Source organism: Homo sapiens, chromosome 18 (genome assembly GCF_000001405.40).
Source record: "Homo sapiens chromosome 18, GRCh38.p14 Primary Assembly".
NCBI classification, from domain to species: Eukaryota; Metazoa; Chordata; class Mammalia; order Primates; family Hominidae; genus Homo; species Homo sapiens.
Genome location: NC_000018.10, coordinates 31,541,954 through 31,564,120, shown reverse-complemented (window position 1 = coordinate 31,564,120; position 22,167 = coordinate 31,541,954). Strand labels below are relative to the sequence as shown.

The following is a 22,167-nucleotide window of genomic DNA, read 5'->3' as shown; positions in this document are numbered from 1 at the left end:
TCTTTTTGTTCCCTTACTAAACCAATGGTGCATCTTACAATTTTTGATACCTTGAATCCAGGAAATATATTCCTTGTTCTCCTCCTTATAGATACAAGGATGCTGGTACAGTTTGGTGTTCTTTTTGTCTCATTTTGCCACTAGATGGCAGGCCCATTCTATTATTCCTGCACCCCACCCCCCCACCCCAACCCCATCAGTGGAATGAAGAATTAAATTTTGTAACAAAAATATAGCTAAAATTTTGAAATGGAAAAATAGGGTAATCTCGAATGGACAGATATCAAAATGCAAAGTTTCAAAAACAAAGAATGTCAGAACTTTACACAATAACACTCTGCTGCCATCATTTCTTTAAACATCTACTTTACCCCATGAAAACATAAGCTCCTTGCAGCCAAGGGCTGTGTTATAAATCTTTCTATGTTCAGGACTTAGAAAGTCCAGTCCTGCTGCCAGCCCCAGTGGATTTAAAAATTGAACCTGGAGAAGAGAAAGGTCTTCATGAATTCATTACGCACATCAAGCAAGACTAAGATAGCTCTTAAGAAAGATTGATGCCTCTTTTATGAAGAGTTACAAGAAGAGATTAGCTGGAAATAGTAGCAAGAGGGACTCCAGTGAAACTTAAGAAAGAACTTCCTGATACAGATGCTGTGAACCCTGGGAGTGGATAACCAAGAATGATACCTAGTGGCCCCCTTCCTCCTTTCACTGGTCGGGAGGTATGTCCTAATGGGAGGATTGGACTAGTTGGTCTCTCAAGCTTCTTTTAATTCTCTTTGTGATTGTAAATGTGTTTTCCTCACTTATTGCAAATTATTGCTGTTATTTGCTCCACTGGTGAAAATCTATTGTACAATTAATTTTTTTGTAGAGACTTCAAAGCATTTCATAGCCGATCTTCATTATGGGCTGATGTAGATTTCTGTAGAGATAGAAAAACTGAGAAGCTCTACTGAGCAAGCTGGGGACCCTTCCCACAATCCAGGATCTGTTCTCTTGCAAAGATCTTATGAGTTTTTTAAACCAAATAAACAAAGAAAACTTGTTTTGCTCTGAAGGAAAAAAAAAAAGACAAACAAAACGAACAGCGACTTTGTCTGACCTTTCCATTGCCTGTAAGCCTCAGAGCTGTTGGCCGTGCCTTGTGATAACTCTGATCTTTTGACTAAAAAAGAATGCTAATCAGCTGGGCTTTGCCAACCTCCATTTGTTACCCAGTTGCTAAGTGATCGCTAAAGATTAGCCAGTCACAGGTGAATGGAAATTTCTACCCTGTGCTTTTTTTTAGAGATGAAAAATAGCTTAGGGCATTTAAAGAAAAACCAAGAAACAAACACTTGTATGTCTTTGGCTCTTGAATTGTTTTTAAACAGCCTTTCTCTGTCCCAACAAATCCAAAAATTGGAAGAGGCAACAAATGTTTTTCTGAAGTTCTGAAGTGCCCTTAACCTTGGCTTTTTTCTTGTTCCCGTCATCATTTCTTTAGCTGGGGTGAACTGTCTGATGATGCAAAAGCCAAGAGACAAACCACCAGCTTTATATATTGTATAGCTTCTCCAACTCACCCATCAAATGGGGGCAAAATAATAGATAGTACTGATCACTAGGACTGTTGTGAGGATCAAATCAGACAATAGTATGAGAAATGCTCAGCATAGGGCCTGTCCAGAGAAGGTACCCAGTGCATACTGGATTCTTTACTAGTGGTGTGATCACCATCACCCTTGTCGTGTGCCAGGTTCTCTCTGTGCTTCAGAGTATTATTATTCCAAAGGGAAATGCACATTGAATTTTCTCTCTTAAGAACTACTTGCAGTAGAACACCCTTTGACTGGGGTAAGAACCCTTGAGTAACAGAGGCCACTGTGTCCAAAAGCTTTACCTGTGTATAGGTGTGCCACAGTTGCATGAACCTCACCTTTGGCTTGCTCATCTAAAAAGTGGACCAATAAACCTTGCAACTGACACACAAGTTTAGAAAGGTCAGATAGCATGGTGGGTAGATCTATTCCAGGTTCCCTTGCAATTACCAAAAGGGTTGTAACTTTCAATGCTTCATTAATCCACATGTAGCACTGCACAGAGCTGATTTTTTTCTTTTTTTTTTTTTTTTTTGAGATGGAGTCTCGCTCTGTTACCTAGGCTGGAGAGGAGTGGCGTGATCTCGGCTCACTGCAAGCTCCGCCTCCCGAGTTCAAGCAATTCTTCTGCCTCAGCCACCTCAGTAGCTGGGATTACAGGCATCCGCCACCACACATGGCTAACTTTTTGTATTTTTAGTAGAGATGGGGTTTCACCGTGTTGGCTAGGCTAATCTTGAACTCCTGACCTCAGGTAATCCTCCCATCTTGGCCTCCCAAAGTGCTGGGATTACAGGTGTGAGCCACCACACCCGGCCCACAGCTCATTTTGAAGGAACTCTACCAATAACCTGCTGTTTACAATTTTTACATGATAAACAACATAGTAGCAAACATCCTTATATACATATCTTTTCATAATTTTAAGACTCTCTTGAGGTAAGATCCTAGAAGCTGGGCTGAAGAATTTGGTTCTCTTTCCATGGGTCGGGTCATTGGAATGTTCAGAGGATGCACCCGGTAGCAGATGCTCTTCCTCCCTAGTTATCAGGGCTATGTCAGGAGGAGGGGGAAAGAGACATGAGGATTTTGTTTGCCTCTATGTTCCTTTTACTTCCTTGATAGTTTGTCTTGGTTTATCCTATTTCTTTTTCTAACCCCCTGGCTTCTACTTTTGGCCAAATATTACTGGAGTATGTATGAGAGTAGAGGGAGACGCAGACGGGTCGGGGATGCAGGGAGTGGAAATATTGAGGGAATATTCCTTTTAATCATTATCTTTATTTTTATTTCATTCCAGCTTCTCAATGTGGATCAGGTGGGTGGATTTTTCTAATTTTTAAGACTATAAATCTTAAACGAATTTCTCTAATTTTTAAGACTCTAAGTCCTGTACTAGCAAGAACATGGATTTTTCTACCCTTCCTTAGAGTGCTCCAGATTATGTGGGAATTTTATTTCTCTTTGTTTGCAAGAGAAACTCCTAAAGAGCTCATTCCTTAGAAAAGCATGAATTTCCGCATGTCTCTTTAACCATCAATTTAGCTGCTCTCAAAGAAATCTGAAGAATGCTTTGCTTGTGTGTCTTTTTCCTTCTGTGTCCACTTTTAACTAAATGTCTCTTTCCAGTGTCTCCATTTCTAATTAATAAGAAGGGAGTTAGCTGGACTGATTATTCTTTGTCATCCCATTGTGGCCAGATCTTTGAACAGTCTATCTCTTGGGCTTCTAGACAACCTGCAGATGGCCACTTTTAGGTTCAGTACCTCTCTCATCCAGTCAGCTGTTGGTTGAGTGTGTGGTAGGGTGTGTATCATATGGAATGGAAAGATCCTCGGATGCTCTAGAATTCCGAGTGAGGTGAAGGGCATTCAGCGGACCTTGGGTGCTCTTACTCAGGGATTTCTTTTAAATTGGCAAGCTAGTCCAGGGGCAGTGCCAGCACTTTGGGAGGCCGAGTTGGGAGGATCACTTGAGCCCAGGAGTTCAAAACCAGCCTTGGCCACATAGCAAATCCCCATCTCTACAAAAAATATATAAAAAAAATAGCTTGATGTGGTGCGTGCCTGTGGTCCCATCTACTCTGGAGGCAGAGGCAGAAGGATCACTTGAGTCTGGGAGATTGAGGCTGCAGTGAGCTATGATTGTGCCACTGCACTCCAGCCTGGGCAACAGAGTGAGACCTTGTCTCAAGAAAATAAATAAATAAATAAATAATAAATTGGCAAACTAGGAGAGAAAAAGCATGGTAAGTATAGCCTGGCATTTTTGTTAAAAAAAAAAAAAAGCTTCTAAAAAATGTCTACACATACATTTACCCCATGACCCAGCAATTTAGGTATTTGCCCCAGAGCAATGAAAACATATGGCCACCAAGGCTTGAACATGAATGTTTATAGTAGCTTCATTTTTGATAACACAAAACTGAAGACAGTCTGGGTGTCCATCAATATGAGAATGGAAAAACAATTTTGACATAATTATACAATAGAACGCTACTGCATTCCATTGCAAAATAGTTTCTTTTCTACAAAAAGAAATGTGTTACTGGTACACACAACCTAGATGAATCTCAAAAAATTATGCTGAGTGATAGAAGTCTATTCCAGAGTCCACACTATATGACTCCATTTATATAAAGTTCTAGGAGAGGCAAAACTAAAAAAAATTTAAATAAAAAAGTCATTGCCTCTCAGAGATAGAGATGAGGCCTGAGCAGGAAGAGGTATTGGTATTTTCTGGGGTCATGGTCATTTTCACATCTTGAAAGGGGTTTGGTTACACGGGTGTATGCATTCTTCAAAACTTAGCAAATGTACACTTAAAATTGGTGCATTTCATGCTATGTGATTTTGCCTCAGAAGAAAAAAAATGTAAATAAATCTTGAACTGTAATTCAACTCTGATGTGTTCAGCGTATGGATGTATTTAAGTATACTTATGGCTATAATTTAATTTGAAATTCACCAAGAGAAATAAGATGGATTGATCAATGGATACAGACATGGATAGATATGTAATAAACTAAGAACAGTAAAATATTAATAGTGAAATCTTGGTGGTAGAAATTCAAGTGTTCACTGAAAATTCTTTCAGTTTGCTATGTGTGTGAAAAGTTTTCCAATAGAATGTTGGGGAAAATGTCTATTGAAATATGATATACCATTCAATTAACAACAAATAGTCATGCACGTGTCATATATAAAGCATTGTGATATGTACTAAAGATGCAAGAATGAAGAAAGACAAAGCTTTTGGCTCGGAGCTTTCACAGTTTCATAAAGGAGACCAAAGTACCAAATTGTTAGGGGAACAAACATGTCAACAATTTTCTGGAATCGTCTAATTTCAAGTACTTTACTTTTATTTGTTTTATGTGTAAAAGAAATGCATTTTATTATTATTTATGTTTCTGTTTCTATTTTTATATATTTCAGGGGTACAAGTGCAGGATTTTTAAATTTTCATTTTTTTAAAGCATAGTCTTTGTCATCTGGGCTGGAGTACAGTGGCACAGTCATGGCACACTGCAGCCTTGAATTCCTGGGCTCTAGTGATCTTCCCATGTCAGCCGCCCAAGCAGCTGAGACCGCAGGTGTACACCACCATGGCCACCTAATTTCTTAAAATTTTTGTAAAGACGAGGTCTCACTATGTTGCCCAGGCTGGTCTAGAACTCCTGGGCTCAAGCAATCCTGCTGCCTTGGCCTCCCAAAGTGATGGGATTACAGGCATGAACCACCAAGCCCGGCTGCAGATTGTTTACATGCTCGGATTGCATAACAGTTACATCTAGGCTTTTTAGTGTACCCATCACCGGAACAGTGAACGTTGTACCCAAGAGGTAATTTTTCAATCCTTACTTTCTCCTCCCTTCTCACCTTTTGGAGTCCCCAGTGTCTATTATTCCACTCTGTATGCCCACGTGTACCCACTGTTTAGCTTCCACTTATAAGTGAGAACATACGGTTTTTTTTTTTTTTTTTTTTTTGAGACAGAGTTTCACTCTTGTTGCCCAGGCTGGAGTGCAATGGTGAGATCTCGGCTCACCGCAACCTCCGCCTCCCAGGTTCAAGCGATTCTCCTGCCTCAGCCTCCCGAGTAGCTGGGATTACAGGCATGCACCACCACACCCGGCTAATTTTATATTTTTAGTAGAGATGGGGCTTCTCCATGTTGGTAAGGCTGGTCTCAAATGACTTTCTGTTTTTGAGTTATTTCACTTAGGTTAATGGCCTCCAATTCCATCCATGTTGCTGCAGAAGACATGATTTCATTCTTTTTTATGGCTGAGTATTATCCCGTGGTATATATGTACCACAGTTTTTTAATCCAGTTGATGGATTAAATTGGACACTTAAGTTGATGGACACTTAGGTTGATTCCATATTCAAGTACTTTATTTTTAAACGTAAGGAATTCTTTAAGTAAATGACTCCATGTTATTTTGATTGACTAATTTTGTAAGTGTTTTTATGTAAACAAACTCACAAGTTAGGAAAAAAATCTTTCATCAAATGCTGTCTTCTAATTTTGTTTAGGGAAATGTTTTTCTCATAACCATACCTTGCCTGTCTGTTGCCTCTGTGACCTATTGACATAATATTTAAAATTTACTTTACAGCAAGAAAAGGGCACTGAAAATGCACGGAAAAGTCAATGAAAGTCAGAAGAAAAAAAGGTTAATATTTAAGGTTGACTTTGGTTGGAGTTAACTTCAACTTTCCCCCACCCTCTTCCTGCAGAATCTCCTCCTTCCAGCTGAGGATTCTTTCTAAAACCTGGTTATAAGGTGTCTTGCTCACAATTGTCTGTGGCTCTTTACTGCATAAAGAGTCTGGTCCCACAGCCTTAGCTGCTGTTCCAAGTCCTCCACAGGGTGGCCTGTACCTGCCTCTTCACCCACACCTTCTGCTGTGCTCACCGCCTCTAATCCCTTACCCGCTAGCCACCCTCACCTGTGTGAGGTAAGCTTCTGATCTAGGTGGTCCTTCCTCCTGTTTACTTACTCTCTGGATTAGTTCATTTTTGCATTACTATAAAGAAATACCTGAGGCTGGTTATTTATTTATTTATTTATTGAGACGGAGTCTCACTCTGTCGCCCAGGCTGGAGTGCAGTGGCGCGCTTGGCTCACTGCAACCGCTGCCTCCCAGGTTCAAGCGATTCTCCTGCCTCAGCCTCCTGAGTAGCTGGGATTACAGACGCCCGCCACCACGCCCGGCTAATTTTTGTATTTTTAGTAGAGACGGGTTTCGCCATGTTGGTCAGGCTGGTCTTGAACTCCTGACCTCAGGTGATCTGACTGCCTCAGCCTCCCAAAGTGCTGGCATTACAGGTGTGAGCCACTACACCTGGCCTGAGGCTGGTAGTTTATAAAGAAAAGAGGTTTAACTGGCTCACGGTTCTGCAGGTGAACCAGAGGTGTGGTGCTGGCATCTGCTTCTGGTGAGGGCCTCAGGAAGCTTCCAATTATTGGCGGAAGGCGAAGTGGGTGTATCACATGGTGAGACCAGGATCAAGAGAGAGGGGAGAGAGGGGCTACGCTTTTAAAAAACAACCAGATCTCGCGTGAACGACCTGAGCGAGAACTGGCTCATCACCAAGGGGATGGCACGAATCCGTTCCTGCGGGATCGGTTCCCATCATCCAATACCTCCCACCAGACTCCACTTCCATCATTGGAGGTCACATTTCAACTAAGATTTGGAGGGGACCGTATCCTAACTATATTAACTTCCAATTTTCATCGAAAGCCCACCTGTCTAAGAAGAGCTCCTAGACATTCCCTTTCCCCTTCAACTTGGAGGAATTGGGAATGACAAAGAGAAATTAATCAAAAGAAGAATTAATCTCTCCAATCAGCCTTGGCATTTTCTTTCTATCTTTGATATGTTGTTTTTTACAGTGTCTTGGTTTTCAGAATAAGCTGTTTGTAACTACTTCCTCCACTATATTGTGAGCCTCTGGAGGGCAAGGTCTGGGCCTTACTCATCTTTGAGTAATTTTAAAGCCACTAAATAGGGCTCTGCACATAGTGAGAATTCAACATATGCTTAGTTGAATCTAATATTTCAGAAAAAGTCAACATCTATTCTTTAAGATAGCCCACAGCAGGCTGAGTGTGTTATTCGTAAATCCATTGGCCAGCGTCATTTCCTCCAAAGTGCAGCATTTTTGATAGAACCAAAGGCTCATGACTGACCTTCAGAAAGACATTTTGTATTTCACCATCAAAGAGTGGTATGGGTTTTATTAGACTTCCGTAATCCAGGTCTCGTTTCTCAGGCAACTCTGAAGCGTATCACACTTTATCTGAGAGGGTCACAATTAGTGAAGGAAGGAATTGGCCTTTGCAAGTTTGTGTTGCTCACGAACTTATTAAATTGCTTGATTTTTTTTTTTCTTCCTAGCTTTGATAGATTGACTTTGCCTCTTTTACTGCGTGCATAGTGCCATCTTGTGGCCATAAAGCATATAACACTCATAGTTATGCCACAGTGCTTCTGTTCCATCTTATTTCTGTAGTCCAGAGGATCTCTTAAGTGTAGAAACACATGGATTATTACTAGGTGAGCATACATATAGTTTACTGCTAAGCCAATTCAACCTGGTACATCTAGTTGGGGTATATCTAGAAGCATTTAAGATGCTTGTATTTTGTGCGTTTTCCAACTTCTTTCATTGAAGTATCCCAATCCAGTGTTTTTCTTTGAAAAAGAACCCATGTAAACTAGGGAAACAATAGATGTGGTCCTTGGAGAGGCTGGAATGAGAAACTCAAGATTACTTTAGAAGGGTCCAACTCAAGAGGGGTTGCAAAACCAAACTTCCTGCTAGAAGAAGCTGAAAGCTGTAGACGAGGGGCAGGGGAACATATAGGGTACGTCTTAATGTATAGCCTCGGGTAAAAAGAAAGAAGAATAAAACAGATCTTTAATACAGTGAGTAAAATCTCCAACAATCCAAGTAACCAGAATATAGGAACTGAAAGAGATTTTGAACCATTGCAAATAGATCGTGTCCTGCACTGAAACCTCTGTAGTTTTCCTCAGAATCCCTCAAACCCATTGAGAATCCATCAATTCAGACTTAACAATGAGAACTAACTTGGGCTTGGGATGCAGCAGATTAAATGTTGTCAGTTAAATGAATCATGTGCAGGTTTAGAAAACCAGTCTGAAAATTTTGTTTGGATTTTTGCAATTGTCCTGCTTAAATGTACCAAAAACCCTTACCCTCTGAGACAGGTAAATTCCTCCCACCACAGTTCACCATTCTTCCTATGACTGGCCCTCTGTTCATTCAGTCACCAGCTATTTCTTTTGTTGGTTGATACTGGAGTAAGTATGAGGTGACAAACATCAAAAAGGCCCATTCCTGCCTTCATTTATCTCAATACCCACTGACAGTACACAGGGGAACAATGCGGGATGCAAATCAATTCTTCAACAGCTTTATGACCCTAACTTCAGAGATCCTATCTATAGGAACAATGGAAATGCAAATGGTCAGTACCTGGTGCTACCTGACTTTTAGCAACAACGAAGTGGGCCAAAGTGCAGCCTGATTAATGTTTAATTACAAATATATTTCTGTTCAGAACTCAGCATGCAATCCTCGTCAACACTGGGGGACCGTTTCAAGTCTGGTAATAATTGAGAAGGAAGCAACCACTACTAATAGGCCTAAAGGAACAAGGAGAGAGCGTGGGTCCAGGAACTCAGAGAGGGAGTTGCTCTATAGAGAGATGCATGACAGAGGGAGGTAGAGGGAGAGATGCCCTGATCTCATTTTTCTCTTTCTCACCAATCTCTAGCCAAGGCCATCACTGGCCAAGCCCATCTAAAAGCCAGAGGCAGCAAGCAGTGCCCGTTGAAACATCCATAAAAGGTAAGCTCCTGGGTCTCAGAGCAGGGTGAAGAAGAGCAGAGAGTGAGTATGAAGAGGCAAATGGAAAATACCCGGCCCAGGGTGTATCTGGATTTTTAACAGAGACACACATTCCTCATCACATGGTTTTTCAATCTGGATAGGTGGGTTTTTGTAATCTGTGGAGCAATGTGAGTCCATTCCCATCCACTGATGGACTTGATACTGTATGTTTCATATCATGCCAATAATGCATTATAGCAAGTGGGGCAGGGGTATGATGGAAGGTGTGAGGGACAGAGACAATGCTGAAAGCTTCTTGATTAGCACGAGGGTAGAAAGAAAGTCAGAGATTGAATGGCATAGCAAGATCCACAAAGTGCAAGCTCAAGGTTCACATATATCATTTGTGAAATAGTAGAATATCTGAAGGTTGACTGTGATAAATTAAAGACGCATATTGTAATTTCCAGAACCATTGTAATCACCCAATGGGTTCTTCCTGCCACTGCACAGACAAAACCAATTCACTGAGACCATGACATTACAATAAAGAAAGAGTTTAATTGAAATGGGCTGGCCATACCACGTGGGAGATTGTTATCAAATCAATCTCCCTGAAAATTCGGAGGTGAGGGTTTTTCAAGGATAGTTTGGCCAGCAGGGGGATAGGGGAATGGATGCTGCTGATTGGTTGGGGATGCAATCATAGGGGTGTGGAAAACGGTCCTAGTGCACCAAGTCTGCTACAGGATGGGGGCCACAGGAGCAGTTGAGCCAAGAGTCGTGGGTATCCAGTCGTCAAAAATGCAAAAGTAGCAAACGACATCCCAAAAGGCCAGTCTTATTTTCTATTATAATAATGTTATCTGCCAGAGTAATTGGGGAAGTTGCAAATTTTGTCACTTCCCGAATAATGGATGGTAATTGTTTACTCCTACACCTTAGCAGACTAGAAGCCCCTTTCATCCTCCTAACCTGGTGGGCTTTCATTAGTTTTATAAAGGTGCTTTAGTTTTAGGGAAAGGTTCTTCTCATGTAAACTATAACCTAAATTTCTCCCAAAGTTAGCTTAGCCTAAGCCCAGGAAAGACCAAAGGCAGTTTGGAGGTTAAAGGCAAGATAGGGGTTGGTTAGATCAGATCTCTTTCATGTTGTAATTTTCTCATTGTTATAATTTTTGCAAAGGTGGTTTCACTCTGAAGTTCCCCCCAAATCTTTACACAATGATAGAAATGTTCTAGATTTGTGCTGTCCAATTGGTAGCCGCTTGCCACGTAGAGCATAGCCCTAGAATGTAAGTACAAATCTAAATGGGAAAAAAACTGAATTTTCCCTAGTGCAAACAAGGAAAACTTTCCCTTGCCATCTCTCATCTCTCTTTTCTTAGAGTATTTAGTTTAAAAAACTTGCAGTTGTTACTTCTTTCTCTATCTCCTTTGCCAGCTTTATAACCAGGGATGTCCTTCTGAAGGACCTGGGGCTATCTTTTTGAAATGTTAACATCAAGGAAGCTAGCCTCCCTATCTTCCCATCTCCATGGGTGCTCGCTCCAAATTATAACTAGCTACCTATCAGAGAGATCTAAGAAGTTTTATTATTTCTTTGAATAAAGGCAATTAGCAAACACAATAGCCCCCTCAATTACTAGGTGAGTTTAAGATGAGCTATGTATGACAAACGGTGCTGTCAAATCCTCTGACTTGAGGACAAGCTATAGTTTATCTTGTGAACAGGTATGTTCTAAATGGCTGCATAAAAAGCAAGAACTTTTTGTCTTTGCAATTTCTTTTTTTTCTTCTTTTGTGAGATGGAGTTTCACTCTTATTGCCAGGCTGGAGTGCAATGGCGCGATCTCAGTTCACCGCAAACTCCACCTCCCGGTTCAAGCGATTCTCCTGCCTCGGCCTCCTGAGTAGTTGGGATTACAGGCACCTGCCATCTGCCCAGCTAAGTTTTTTATTTTTAGTAGAGATGGGGTTTCTCTGGTCAGACTGGTCTCGAACTCCTGACCTCAGGTGATCCGCCCGCCTTGGCCTCCCAAACTGTTGGGATTAAAAGCATGAGCCACTGTGCCCAGCCTGTGGTTTCTTTTCTCTCTCTCTCTTTTTTTTTTTTAGACAGAGTCTCGCACTGTTGTCCAGGCTGGAGTGCAGTGGTGTGCTCTCGGCTCACTGCAAGCTCTGCCTCCCAGGTTCAAGCAATTCTCCCGAGTAGCTGGGACTACAGGTGCCCGCCACCATGCCCGGCTAATTTTTTGTATTTTTAGTAGAGACGGGGTTTCACCATGTTAGCCAGGATGGTCTTGATCTCCTGACCTTGTGATCTGCCCGCCTCGGCTTCCCAAAGTGCTGGGATTACAGGCGTGAGCCCCTGTGCCCGGCCCGCAGTTTCTTTAGGAGCTACCTGTGATGTGCCTCACCTTCAGGGTTTAATGCTTATTCAATGATGACACTGTTTTCTTTCTCCTTTACTTTGTGGAAAGGTTTTTTAGGTTGAGAGGAAATTTTGTTGTTAGTTATATTTCCTCAGTAAGAGCAACCAATTAAAAAGTAAACACAAGCGGGTGTAGGTGAAAGGTCAACAGAGGTGCTACAGTGGAATCCTAAAGCATGCAGTACACAAAAGAAGTCAGGAAACAAGAGTGGAGAAAACCAAAAAACCAACAGAAAACCCAGGTGGACAAAGATAAAACAAATACAAAGATGGAAGCTTAAACTTATCCATATAAATAATTGTTGTAAAACCTTCTGATAAAAGTCAGAAATTGTCAAAATGGGAAAAGCCAAGACCTACCTGTATATTGTTTACAATAAATGTACTATAAAGGCACAGACAGGTGTCAAGCAAAAGGATCAAAAAGATATACCACGGAAGCACTAACCATAAGAAGGCTGGTATGGCTGTATTAATGTTAGGCAAGGTAGATTTCAAGACAAAGAATGTGTTAGAAGAAAAACTTCAGGCAAATTAAATTTTACAAAGTTGGCTGGGTGTGGTGGCTCACGCCTGTAATCCCAGCAGTTTAGGAGGCTGAGGCTGGTGGATCACTTGAGGCCAGGAGTTCGAGACCAGCCTGGGCAACATGGGGAAACCCCATCTCTACTAAAAAAAAAAAAAAAAAAAAAAATGCAAAAATTAGCCTGGTGTGGTGGCGTACACCTGTAATCCCAGCCCAGCTACTCAGGAGGCTGAGGAGAATCACTTGACCCTGGGAGGCGGAGGTTGCAGTGAGCGGAGATTCTGCCACTGCGCTCCAGCCTGGGTGACAGAGTGAGACTCCATCTCCAAAATAATAAAATAAATAAATATATAAACAAATTTTACAAACTTTAATTGAGCAAAGAATAATTTGCAAATTGGGCAGTACCTAAACCGGAGTAGATTCAGAGCCACGCTGGTGCTGCCACGTGGTCAGAGAGGATTTATGGATAGAAAAAGGAAGTGAGGTACAGAATAGCAGGACTGGTTACAGCTCAGGGTTTGCCTTATTTGAATGCAGTTTGAACAGTTGGCTGCCTGTGAGTGGTTGAAGTATTGCGGCCGTGATTGCCTCAGACAAGAGTAGGTTACAGTCTGTTTACACATCCAGTTAGGTTATAGTTCACTAAGTATGGAGAAACCTTCAGGCCAAACTTAAAATATGTAACAAGGGCCAGGTGTGGTAATTCACGCCTGTAATCCCAGCACTTTGGGAGGCCAAGGCAGGCGGATCACCCGAGGTCGGGAGTTTGAGACCTGCCTGACCAATATGGAGAAACCCCGTCTCTATTAAAAATACAAAATTAGCTGGGCGTGGTGGCGCATGCCTGTAACCCCAGCTACTTGGGAGGGTGAGGCAGGAGAATCATTTGAACCTGGGAGGCGGAGGTTGTGGTGAGCCGAGTTTGCGCCATTTCACTCACTTGAAACTCCGTCTCAAAAAAAAAAAAAAAAAAAAAGGAAAAGAATGTAAGGAGGCAGCTTTAGGCTAAAGGTAATTAGCAGTTATAAACAGAGATGAAGAGAGGCATTTCATAATGATAAAAAGATCAGTTCTTCAGGAACACAGTAATCCTAAATGTACTTGTACCTAATAACACAGGCAAAAAGTTTCAAAACACAGGAAACAAAAATAGAAAGAATTAAAGGGGGAAATAAGCAAAGCCACACTTGGGAGACTTCAACCTCTTAGTAATTAATGGAAACAGTAGACAAAGTAATTGGGAATGATATAGAGGATTAAAATAAAACATAATGAAACTAATAAATTTTGGTCCTTTAAGAAAGTCAGATTTAATGATCTGAAATGTCTCATTTTTAGGTGATATTTGGTTAGCAACGTCCTACTGTAGACATTTTGATGTGGTGGTGATTGGAATATGGTCTGCAGAGATCAACCAGAATTAGCTCCATGTGCCACTGGGAGTGGGAACTGAAGTCACGCAGGAATAAACCAGTCTTCATGCTTTAGGATGTTCTGATGTGCCATTGTCGTGAAATCTTCATTCATGAGACATTCCAGTTTACCGGCAGTGTCGACTAGAATATGCTACAGCCCCCAAAATACGTTTTTAGTATAAGGATTATTTTGAGCTGATTATTTTGAGAAATAGCAGACGCAGGAGAAACTCTGAAGACAGAACGTAAGTTTACCTTTTGTAAAGGGATTTACATTTATAAGGGAAATGTCCATTTGTAAGGCTGTCTCCCTCCGTACCGGAAACACGGGATGACTATAAGTGACAAAGAGATTAATTTAAATCTGCATGACAAATCTTACTCAAGCTTACCAGACTTTTCCTGGTCACCTTCCCATAACTTGTTTCCCCTGCCCAGAAGCCCCTAATCCCCTTTCCTATGTTTTAGCCCAAGTTGGTATATTATTAAATTAAACTGGGCCTGAGGCTGCCTCCATACCTTGAGTCCCCACATGACGAACTGCAGCCTAGCTTGGTACATAAATGAACTGAAAGCCTAATTTAGGAGTATATTTTTGTAATACATAGCTGAGCGTCAATCAATCACAGCAGCTGAGTTTCAGCCAGTCACTGGCTGCCAACTGATCAGCCCACCTCCAAATAAGGCAAAGGCTCAGCTGTAACCAATCAAGCAGCTTCCCTACCTCACTTCCATTTTCTGTCTATGAATACGGCCTGCTCATTATTGTAGAATAGAGTTCTCCGAACCTTTTCTAGTTCCAGGGCAGCCCAATTTTGTGAACCTTTCTTTGCTTAAGTAAACTGTTAGATTTAATTTGTTTAAAGCTCTTCTTTTAACATTTTACACCCAAGTTCTAACCACCCCTTTGAGCTGCTCATTCCAGTTACTCCAAAGCATGCATGAGATACACATGTTAACAGACTAATGTTTGTTTTTCTCTTGTTAATCTGTGTTTTGTTACAGAGCCCCAGCTGGGGACCTAGAAGAAAATTTGTTTTTCTTCTCTTATAGCAGCAACTCTGATCTTTTCCCTTCTAAACTATAACAAGCAATTAAAACAGCCTCTCAAACATTGGTAGAATGATTTCATCTCTTTGGGTTAGATATACTAGCCTTCTTCTGCCAGACCCAACAGATTTCTCCAGTGTTACTCTGGGCAGAGAGCAACCTTCACTTCCTTAGGAACAAGGTTGCCAGAGTTGGACAATGAAAATGCCAAGTACCCCGATAAATTTGAATTTTAGATAACCGACAACTTTTTTTATTGCAAGCAGATCTAATTAAATAACAAAGTCCAAGAAACACCTGCCTTTAAGGCACTCTCCCTAACAAACTGAGTTATATTCCTTGTAAAATATAATAGAGAAATAAAAATCTATGGGGAAAGGGTCACTCTAAAGATACTTTTTATTTAAATATTTTATGATGATACATATACAAATATAATCTTCCAAAAAACAAATGTAAAACTAATACAAATCACTTTTTCAGGAACAAAGAAAATCATTTAGAAAATGTGATTATGCTAAAAGAGGCAGGTTAGGTTTCCAAGGCTGCTCAAGGTGGAAGCTTAAGACCAACTTTTGTTTGAGTACACAAGTGATATTTACATTTTCATATACTAGTGATATACCTGTTGCATACTTGGCAAAATAAAACTGATAGTAAGTCTATAATAATAAAAGAAACAACAATTACTAAGTAAACAATTCTAGATGATGGAAGAGTAACCTCCATTTAAGCTACAGACTTAGATGTCTAAAAATATGTGTCCTGATCTGTACAGTTAGTGGGAGCACACTATATAAATCCTTTGCATGACACCATTCAACAATATTTTTTAAAATCTACAAAATTTTAAAGTTTCACTTCCCTAGCAAAATATCTTCAGTCAAGAAATTAGTCTTTGAAAATTATGAAAATTGTTGTGGGAAATATTTATACAAATTATTACTGATAATGCACATATATTTTGAAACATTGTTTCTAGAAGCAATAAAATATAACCTATTTAGGAGATAACCCAAATGATTTGTAAAAAAATTAACTTGTAGAAAAGGGAAGGATGTTGTGTAAAATCAAGTCAATTATTTGAGGTTTTTATAATATTGAGTACTTATGTACTAAGTCACACCCAGCCAGTCAATAACTGAGAAATCAAAATAAAATAATAATTTCAAAGAATTACATAAATACAGGGCCTTTTGAGATTTTTGGCAATTGTAAACAAAAACGAATGGTTTTTACAATTCAGTGTAATTCTACGAATATTTATTTGGCACCCATGTTAGGCACTGAGGCTACACAGCAGTGAAATAGGCCTAGTTGTTCTCAACTAGAGAACATAGTTGGTTAATGTAGCTGCACTGAATTGTAGCTGTTTAGAAGATAATATACCCTGAGGCTTTTTAAAGTATACTATTACTATAAGAAGTAAAATTATTTTATACTTATAAATTTTGTTTTGGATTATTCAACTGAATTTGGAGTGTTCAGAATTTTCATGGCGGTTGAGACAAGGAAGAGGTATAATGCTATTTTTTTTTCCTTTTCTTTTTTTTTTTGAGACGGAATCTCACTCTGTTGCCCAGACTGGAGTGCAATGGTGCGATCTCGGCTCACTGCAACCTCCGCCTCCCGGGTTCAAGTGATTCTCCTGCCTCAGCCTCCCAAGTAGCTGGGATTACAGGCGCCCACCATCACGCCCAGCTAATTTTTGTATTTTTAGTAGAGACGGGGTTTCACCAGGTTGGCCTGGCTGATCTCAAACTCCTGACCACAGTTGATCCACCCGCCTCGGCCTCCCAAAGTGCTGGGATTACAGGCGTTAGCCACCACCCCTGGCCAGTATAATGCTATTTTTAAGACTATACAGTATGTACGTGCACACACACACACTGTCATGTGCACAGAAACATACAATGTGTATTCTTATCATCAATGGTCCAATTTAATGAATCACACAGATTGAAAGGGTTCAAGTCTTAAAGAAGTTATGAGCACCATAGCTGGTGCTCAGACTGTGCATGTATCTTTGGATCAATGAGTTGTTGAAAGTCTGCTGGGTGCAGTAAAGTACAGAATACAGAACATCAATGTTTAATGTTAATACGGTAGGCAAAGAGACCCAGTCAGTTTCCTGGGTTGCTTTACTGGACGGCTGATGAACTAGGTACTCTGTTCACTTGGTAAATTCTCAGAAGCCAGATTGACTCTCTATGTATCTTGTTTTATCAGGATTGTTTGCATAGCTTGCTAAAAGGCACCTAAGCAGCAGCATCATCTCTATGTCTTCAGTAAATTGTGGAACATTTCTAAAATACTCCTGGAAGCAGAGACAGTGTGGTCCTTTGCATATCAGTGACTGAGAAAAATTTTAAGATCAATGTGTATGTGTCTCTGTGTGTCTGTAAGGCTCATGAAAAATCAGGTACATTGGAAACATGAAATTAGTCACTGCTAATTAAACTCTGGGTCAGTTTGTGGCTGACTGCTGTTTAGGAGTAAGAATGCTGTACAGTGCTATGCTTGGTAACTCTGGTGGAAGATGTGGTTATGGTAGAATTAGAATGACCAGATTCCTCTAAACCAAAATCTGGCAGAGGGCCAGGGACTCCAGCTCCAGACACCGTGGTGTTCCTAGCCGTCATAGAATTTTCAGTGGGAATCTGGTAACTGGATTGCAGAGTGGAAGCAGGTGCTAGAACTCTTTCTGTCACTGTCACATTCTGTCCTACTGCTATATTAGGCATGGCCAGAGTAGGCTGCACACCTGAGCTGGGGGCAAGGAAGCTCTCTCTTTCCCTCACCATGACGTAAGGTACATCTTGAAGATGCTGAGTGCCTTCCAGAGGATTCGATCCACCCCCATGAGGCTGTATTACTCTTTCAGTGACCACAACTGTACCTTCATTAGCATAAGGCTGATCTACCAAGGTAGAAGCTGGAGCATACACCCTCTCTGTCACAATAAGGCTCTGTGGCTGGCTAGGACCCAGGATCACAGTGGTTGGTGGCATAGTGGACCCTGTGACATAGGAAGTTTCTGTTGCTATCACATTTCTAGAAGCCATTGGGTCAGGAAGAGGTGTAGCTACCTTTTGCGCCTGCCTAGAAGACACAGATCTTTCAGTGACTATTTCCTGAGTTACTTTCTCTGCATTGGCTTCTTGCAAAGATTTTGGAACTGGGAAGCTACTGCCAGAGGAGTAGGTATTCTCTGAATTAACCATAGTTTGCTCACAGAGTGAATGTGAAGCTGTGTTCATACTTGTTTCTGTGGCAGGTTTTTGTCTCTGCTCAATTTCCTTATTTATATCTATTTTTTGACCCAGGCAAACTTCAGCTAGTGTCTTGAATTTAAGTCCCAAATCATCTAAGAAGCGGTCATCTAGCTCTCCTTCAATAAAACTGCAACAACCAATAGAAGCATTCAGCGATTCAGTTTCTTCCTGAGAATAAACCAGAAGGCAATCTTTGGCTGTGTGATTTTCATCTTCCTCAGTGTAAGAGGCCGCTTTCTAAAATGAAAACAAAACAAAACAAACACAAAACAGACAAATAATTAGCAATATAAATTCATTTTAAAACAAGACTCTATATTCCTGTTCAAAATGCAGTAATGTGAATTTAATTACAAGGAACCATCAGGGAAACACAAATTGAGAGAGATCCTACGACACAACTGGACTGTATTCTTAAAAAAAATTAATATCAGGGAAAAAATAGAAAGGCAGAGGGGACTGTTTCAGATTAAAGGAGACTAAAGTGTCAGGACAACTAAATGGAATGCAGGATCCTGAGAAAAACAAAATTGCTGTAAAAGATAGTGTGATAGTTGGCTAAACTGAAATATGGACTATGTCAATATTAAAGTTCTACATTTGTTAACTGTACTATAGTAATGTAAGAGAATGTGTGTGAATGTGTGTCAGTGAGAGAGAGACAGAGAAAATGGAAAAGCAAATAGCAAATGTGGCAAAATGTTTATTGGGTTCAAAATTTCTATTATTCTTGCAAATTTTCTGATAACTTTGAAATTACTTCCAAATCAAAAGTTAGTACACACATACATAACCAAGAATGACTGGAGCAGGATTAGAGTGGAGAGAGGGAAAACTTACCAAAAGAAAACAAACAGGACGCTAGAATTGAGCTTAGCAGTGAGACAGGAAAGGCCAAGAAATGGTTTTGCTTGACACCACCCACATCCCTGTTAAGCTAATACTTGAAGGTGGGTGAAGGATGGTATGAAAGATGGGAGGTTAAAAAGGAGCAGAAAGTGGGAAAGCACGCTAATAATTTGCAAATTTAGAAGAGGGGGACAGAAGTAACTTGCTTTCCTCAATGGAAGCCCCTCCCCTTACTCCTCTCTAGGGCCCTTCAGATGCCTTATATTCCAACTCTGTCCATTCTCATGGGAGCACAGGGCCTTGTTCTCAAGAAAACCACCCAGTCCTACTTTTTAAAAAATTATTCTTACTATGTCTGTAAGATCTGTAGTAAAGTTCTTTATTTTATTTCTAACATCCATAGTTTGTGCTTAATCTCTTAATATCCTAATTAGTCTGGTAAAATGTTTATCAATTTTATTGACCTCTTTAAATAATAAGCTTGTGGCTTCAATTTTTTTTCTTATTACTTTTTGCTAAATATTTCATTGATTTCTGCTCTAAAATTCATCATTATCTTATTTCTGCTTGTTTTGGGTTTAATTTGCTCTTCTAACTTCTGAGGGTGGAAGCTTAGGTCACTGATTTGAGAACCATCTTCTAATATAGCCATTTTTGCTACAATTTCCCTTCAAGCATCACTTTAGTAGTACCCCACAAATTTTCATGAAGTATAATTTAATTTGCAGTCATGTGTATTTATAAATATTTGAGTATATTTTATATATCTCTTTGTTACTGATCTCTGGTTTTAATTTTTTTTTCATCAAAGTACATTGTATGACTGCAGTTCTTTAAAAGTTATTTACATTTATTTAATGTTCTAGAATACAGTCTATATGAAAAAGCATGTGTATTCTGCTTCTGTTGCATAGAGTGTTCTGTCAGTATCAACTAGATCCATTTGGTTCACAGTACTAAGTTTTCTATATGCTTACTGATTCTGTCACTTGTTCTTTCATTTACTGATAGATCAGGTTGAACTCTCCAACTATCATTATGAATTTGTCTGTTTCTCTTTCAGTTGTTTTTGCTTTAAGTTTTAAAAATTTCTGTTATTAGGTTCTGACATATTTAGGAGTTTCAGGCCTCCTGATGAACTGACTCATTTTTCATTATGAACTATCCCTCATTATTCCTGGTAATATTCCTTGTTCTGAAGTATACTTTATCTCTATGTTATACTTTTTTTTTTTTTTTTTTTTAGACAGAGTTTCACTCTGTTGCCCAGGCTGGAGTGCAGTGGTATGATCACAGCTCACTGCATCCTTGGCTTTCCAGGCTCAAGTGATCCCCCTACCTCAGCCTTCTGAGTAGCTGGGACTACAGGTGTGTGCCAGCATGCCCAGCTAATTTTTTGTATTTTTGGAGAGATAGGGTTTTAACATATTGCCCAAGCTGGTCTTGAACTTCTGGGCTCAAGTGATCTGCCTGCCTTGACCTCCCAGAGTGCTGGGATCACAGGCATGAGCCATTGTGCCTGACCTCTACATTATACTTTTATTTTCAGTTCTGCTTCTAATTCCTCAATTCTAGCATGAGCTTCCTTATTGCATCTGATCATCTTCCTGGAACTTTTCTCATCATTTTTTGGTGGACCCTCATAATAGCAAAGCCAAGTACTCTCATACAGAAGGTAAAATTTAAATGGACTTAATAGATTGTGTTTTTTAGGTTATATATCCTCTGCCTCTCCTACGGAGCTCATCCCTACCAAGCCTGCTCCTGCAGAGGGATGCAACTTTCCGACCCACTGACATCTGTCTTGGTCATATGACTTGCTTTGGTCAATGAAATGTGGTGTAAAAAGGTGGAGGCTTTGAGAGCCATTGCCTGGTTCTGCCTTGTTCTTTTCTTTGGGTCACAAGGACGGCAGCTTCCCAGGTACAATCTGCTCTCTCAGTGTGCATCTTGATATGAAGACATCATGAAGGAAAGCAGAGCTGACTGACTGGCAAAAACATAACTGTAAGTGAGAAATATGCCTGTGTGAGAACTAAGATCATGGTTACTGCAGCATAATTTAGCTAACACCGACTGATTCTGTGGGTCCCATTTCTCTTTCCTTATTGCCTATAAGTATTCCCTGAAAAAAGAAAAAAAAAAAAAACCCAAAGTCTCATTTGGATCCAAGGCAATGATTACCCTAATAATATCACATTCACATACAAATGTTCCCCCCACCCCCCACCACCAATACATAAAACTCATCCTTACATCAGTGAAATAATTTCTTAAGAATTCTTCGTTCAGTGCAACAGCAGCTGCCTGAGCTCCGGCCATGTCTCTGGAAGCCCCTGTGGCCCTTGCGGTCTTCGTGGTTTCAGTGGTCATGATAGCGCCTGTGGCCCCTGTAAACTGGGTAGCTCTACCAGAAAGCAGGCTTCTGTGTTCTTCCCACCTTCCATCCATCTCGGACATCTCATGTTGCCCTTTGACAATGGAAGCAGAGCTACTTCCTTTCATCGTGGCTTCCTTGGCCATACCTCCTACTCCATTTCTTCCTACTAGACTGCCCCCTTGATCCACTGGCAGAAATGATGGCACCACCTGTGAGAGCAAACACAGCTGAGAACTGAGTCAGGAGGATGGAGGGAATCCTTCATCCTTGGTAGAAGGATCTGAGTCAAGTGGGCATAGGAAGGTATAAGCTATTTCCACTGAGGCCAGTTAGAAAAAGTATTTTGAGTTGAATAACTTATGTAAGTCTTATGAAGATCTCCTTTCTTCTCTCTTCTTGTTTTATAGGTGGATAGAACCCAAAGAGAAAACAAAGCCCAAACAGTCTCAGCTCCTTTACTCTATGCGACCAATGGCATTTCAACCTCCCTCTACAGTTTGATACCTTCTTCTATAGTTACAGAATTCTTAACTTTGTTTTGACCTGGATCCATGGCCACCCAAAATAAAGACTATATTTCTAAGCCTCTGATGCCACTAGGTATAGCCACCTGACTAAACTGTGGTCAATGTGAATGAAGCAGAAATGGTGTACACAAGTTCCGGGAAGTGTGCTTAAAGAGGGTTCTTCACTTTTCTCCCATGTGCTGGTTAGAATGTGGGGACGGCAGCTAGGTAGCTAGAACTAGGACATGAGGACAGTGTGGGAATGGAAC

General features: G+C 40.5%; 1 protein-coding gene and 1 long non-coding RNA gene across 3 annotated transcripts in view; one reads left to right on the top strand and one right to left on the bottom strand.

The window, feature by feature from the left end:
- Positions 1–7,209: 7,209 nt before the first annotated feature.
- On the top strand, positions 7,210–21,975 carry DSG2-AS1 (DSG2 antisense RNA 1). Its single transcript, NR_045216.1, has 6 exons — positions 7,210–8,158; positions 9,406–9,479; positions 13,762–14,083; positions 18,215–18,385; positions 20,726–21,019; positions 21,800–21,975. It is a non-coding gene; the product is annotated as a DSG2 antisense RNA 1 (long non-coding RNA).
- DSG2 (desmoglein 2) overlaps positions 15,113–22,167 on the bottom strand; it is a 50,832-nt gene continuing 43,777 nt past the window's right edge. For both annotated transcript variants that reach the window (XM_047437315.1, NM_001943.5), the window contains 2 exons: positions 21,269–21,601; positions 15,113–18,400 (listed from right to left, as the gene is read on the bottom strand). In XM_047437315.1, the coding sequence (XP_047293271.1) occupies positions 17,378–18,400; positions 21,269–21,601 (1,356 nt within the window). In that variant the 3' untranslated portion in view covers positions 15,113–17,377. The remainder of the gene's footprint in view (positions 18,401–21,268; positions 21,602–22,167) is intronic.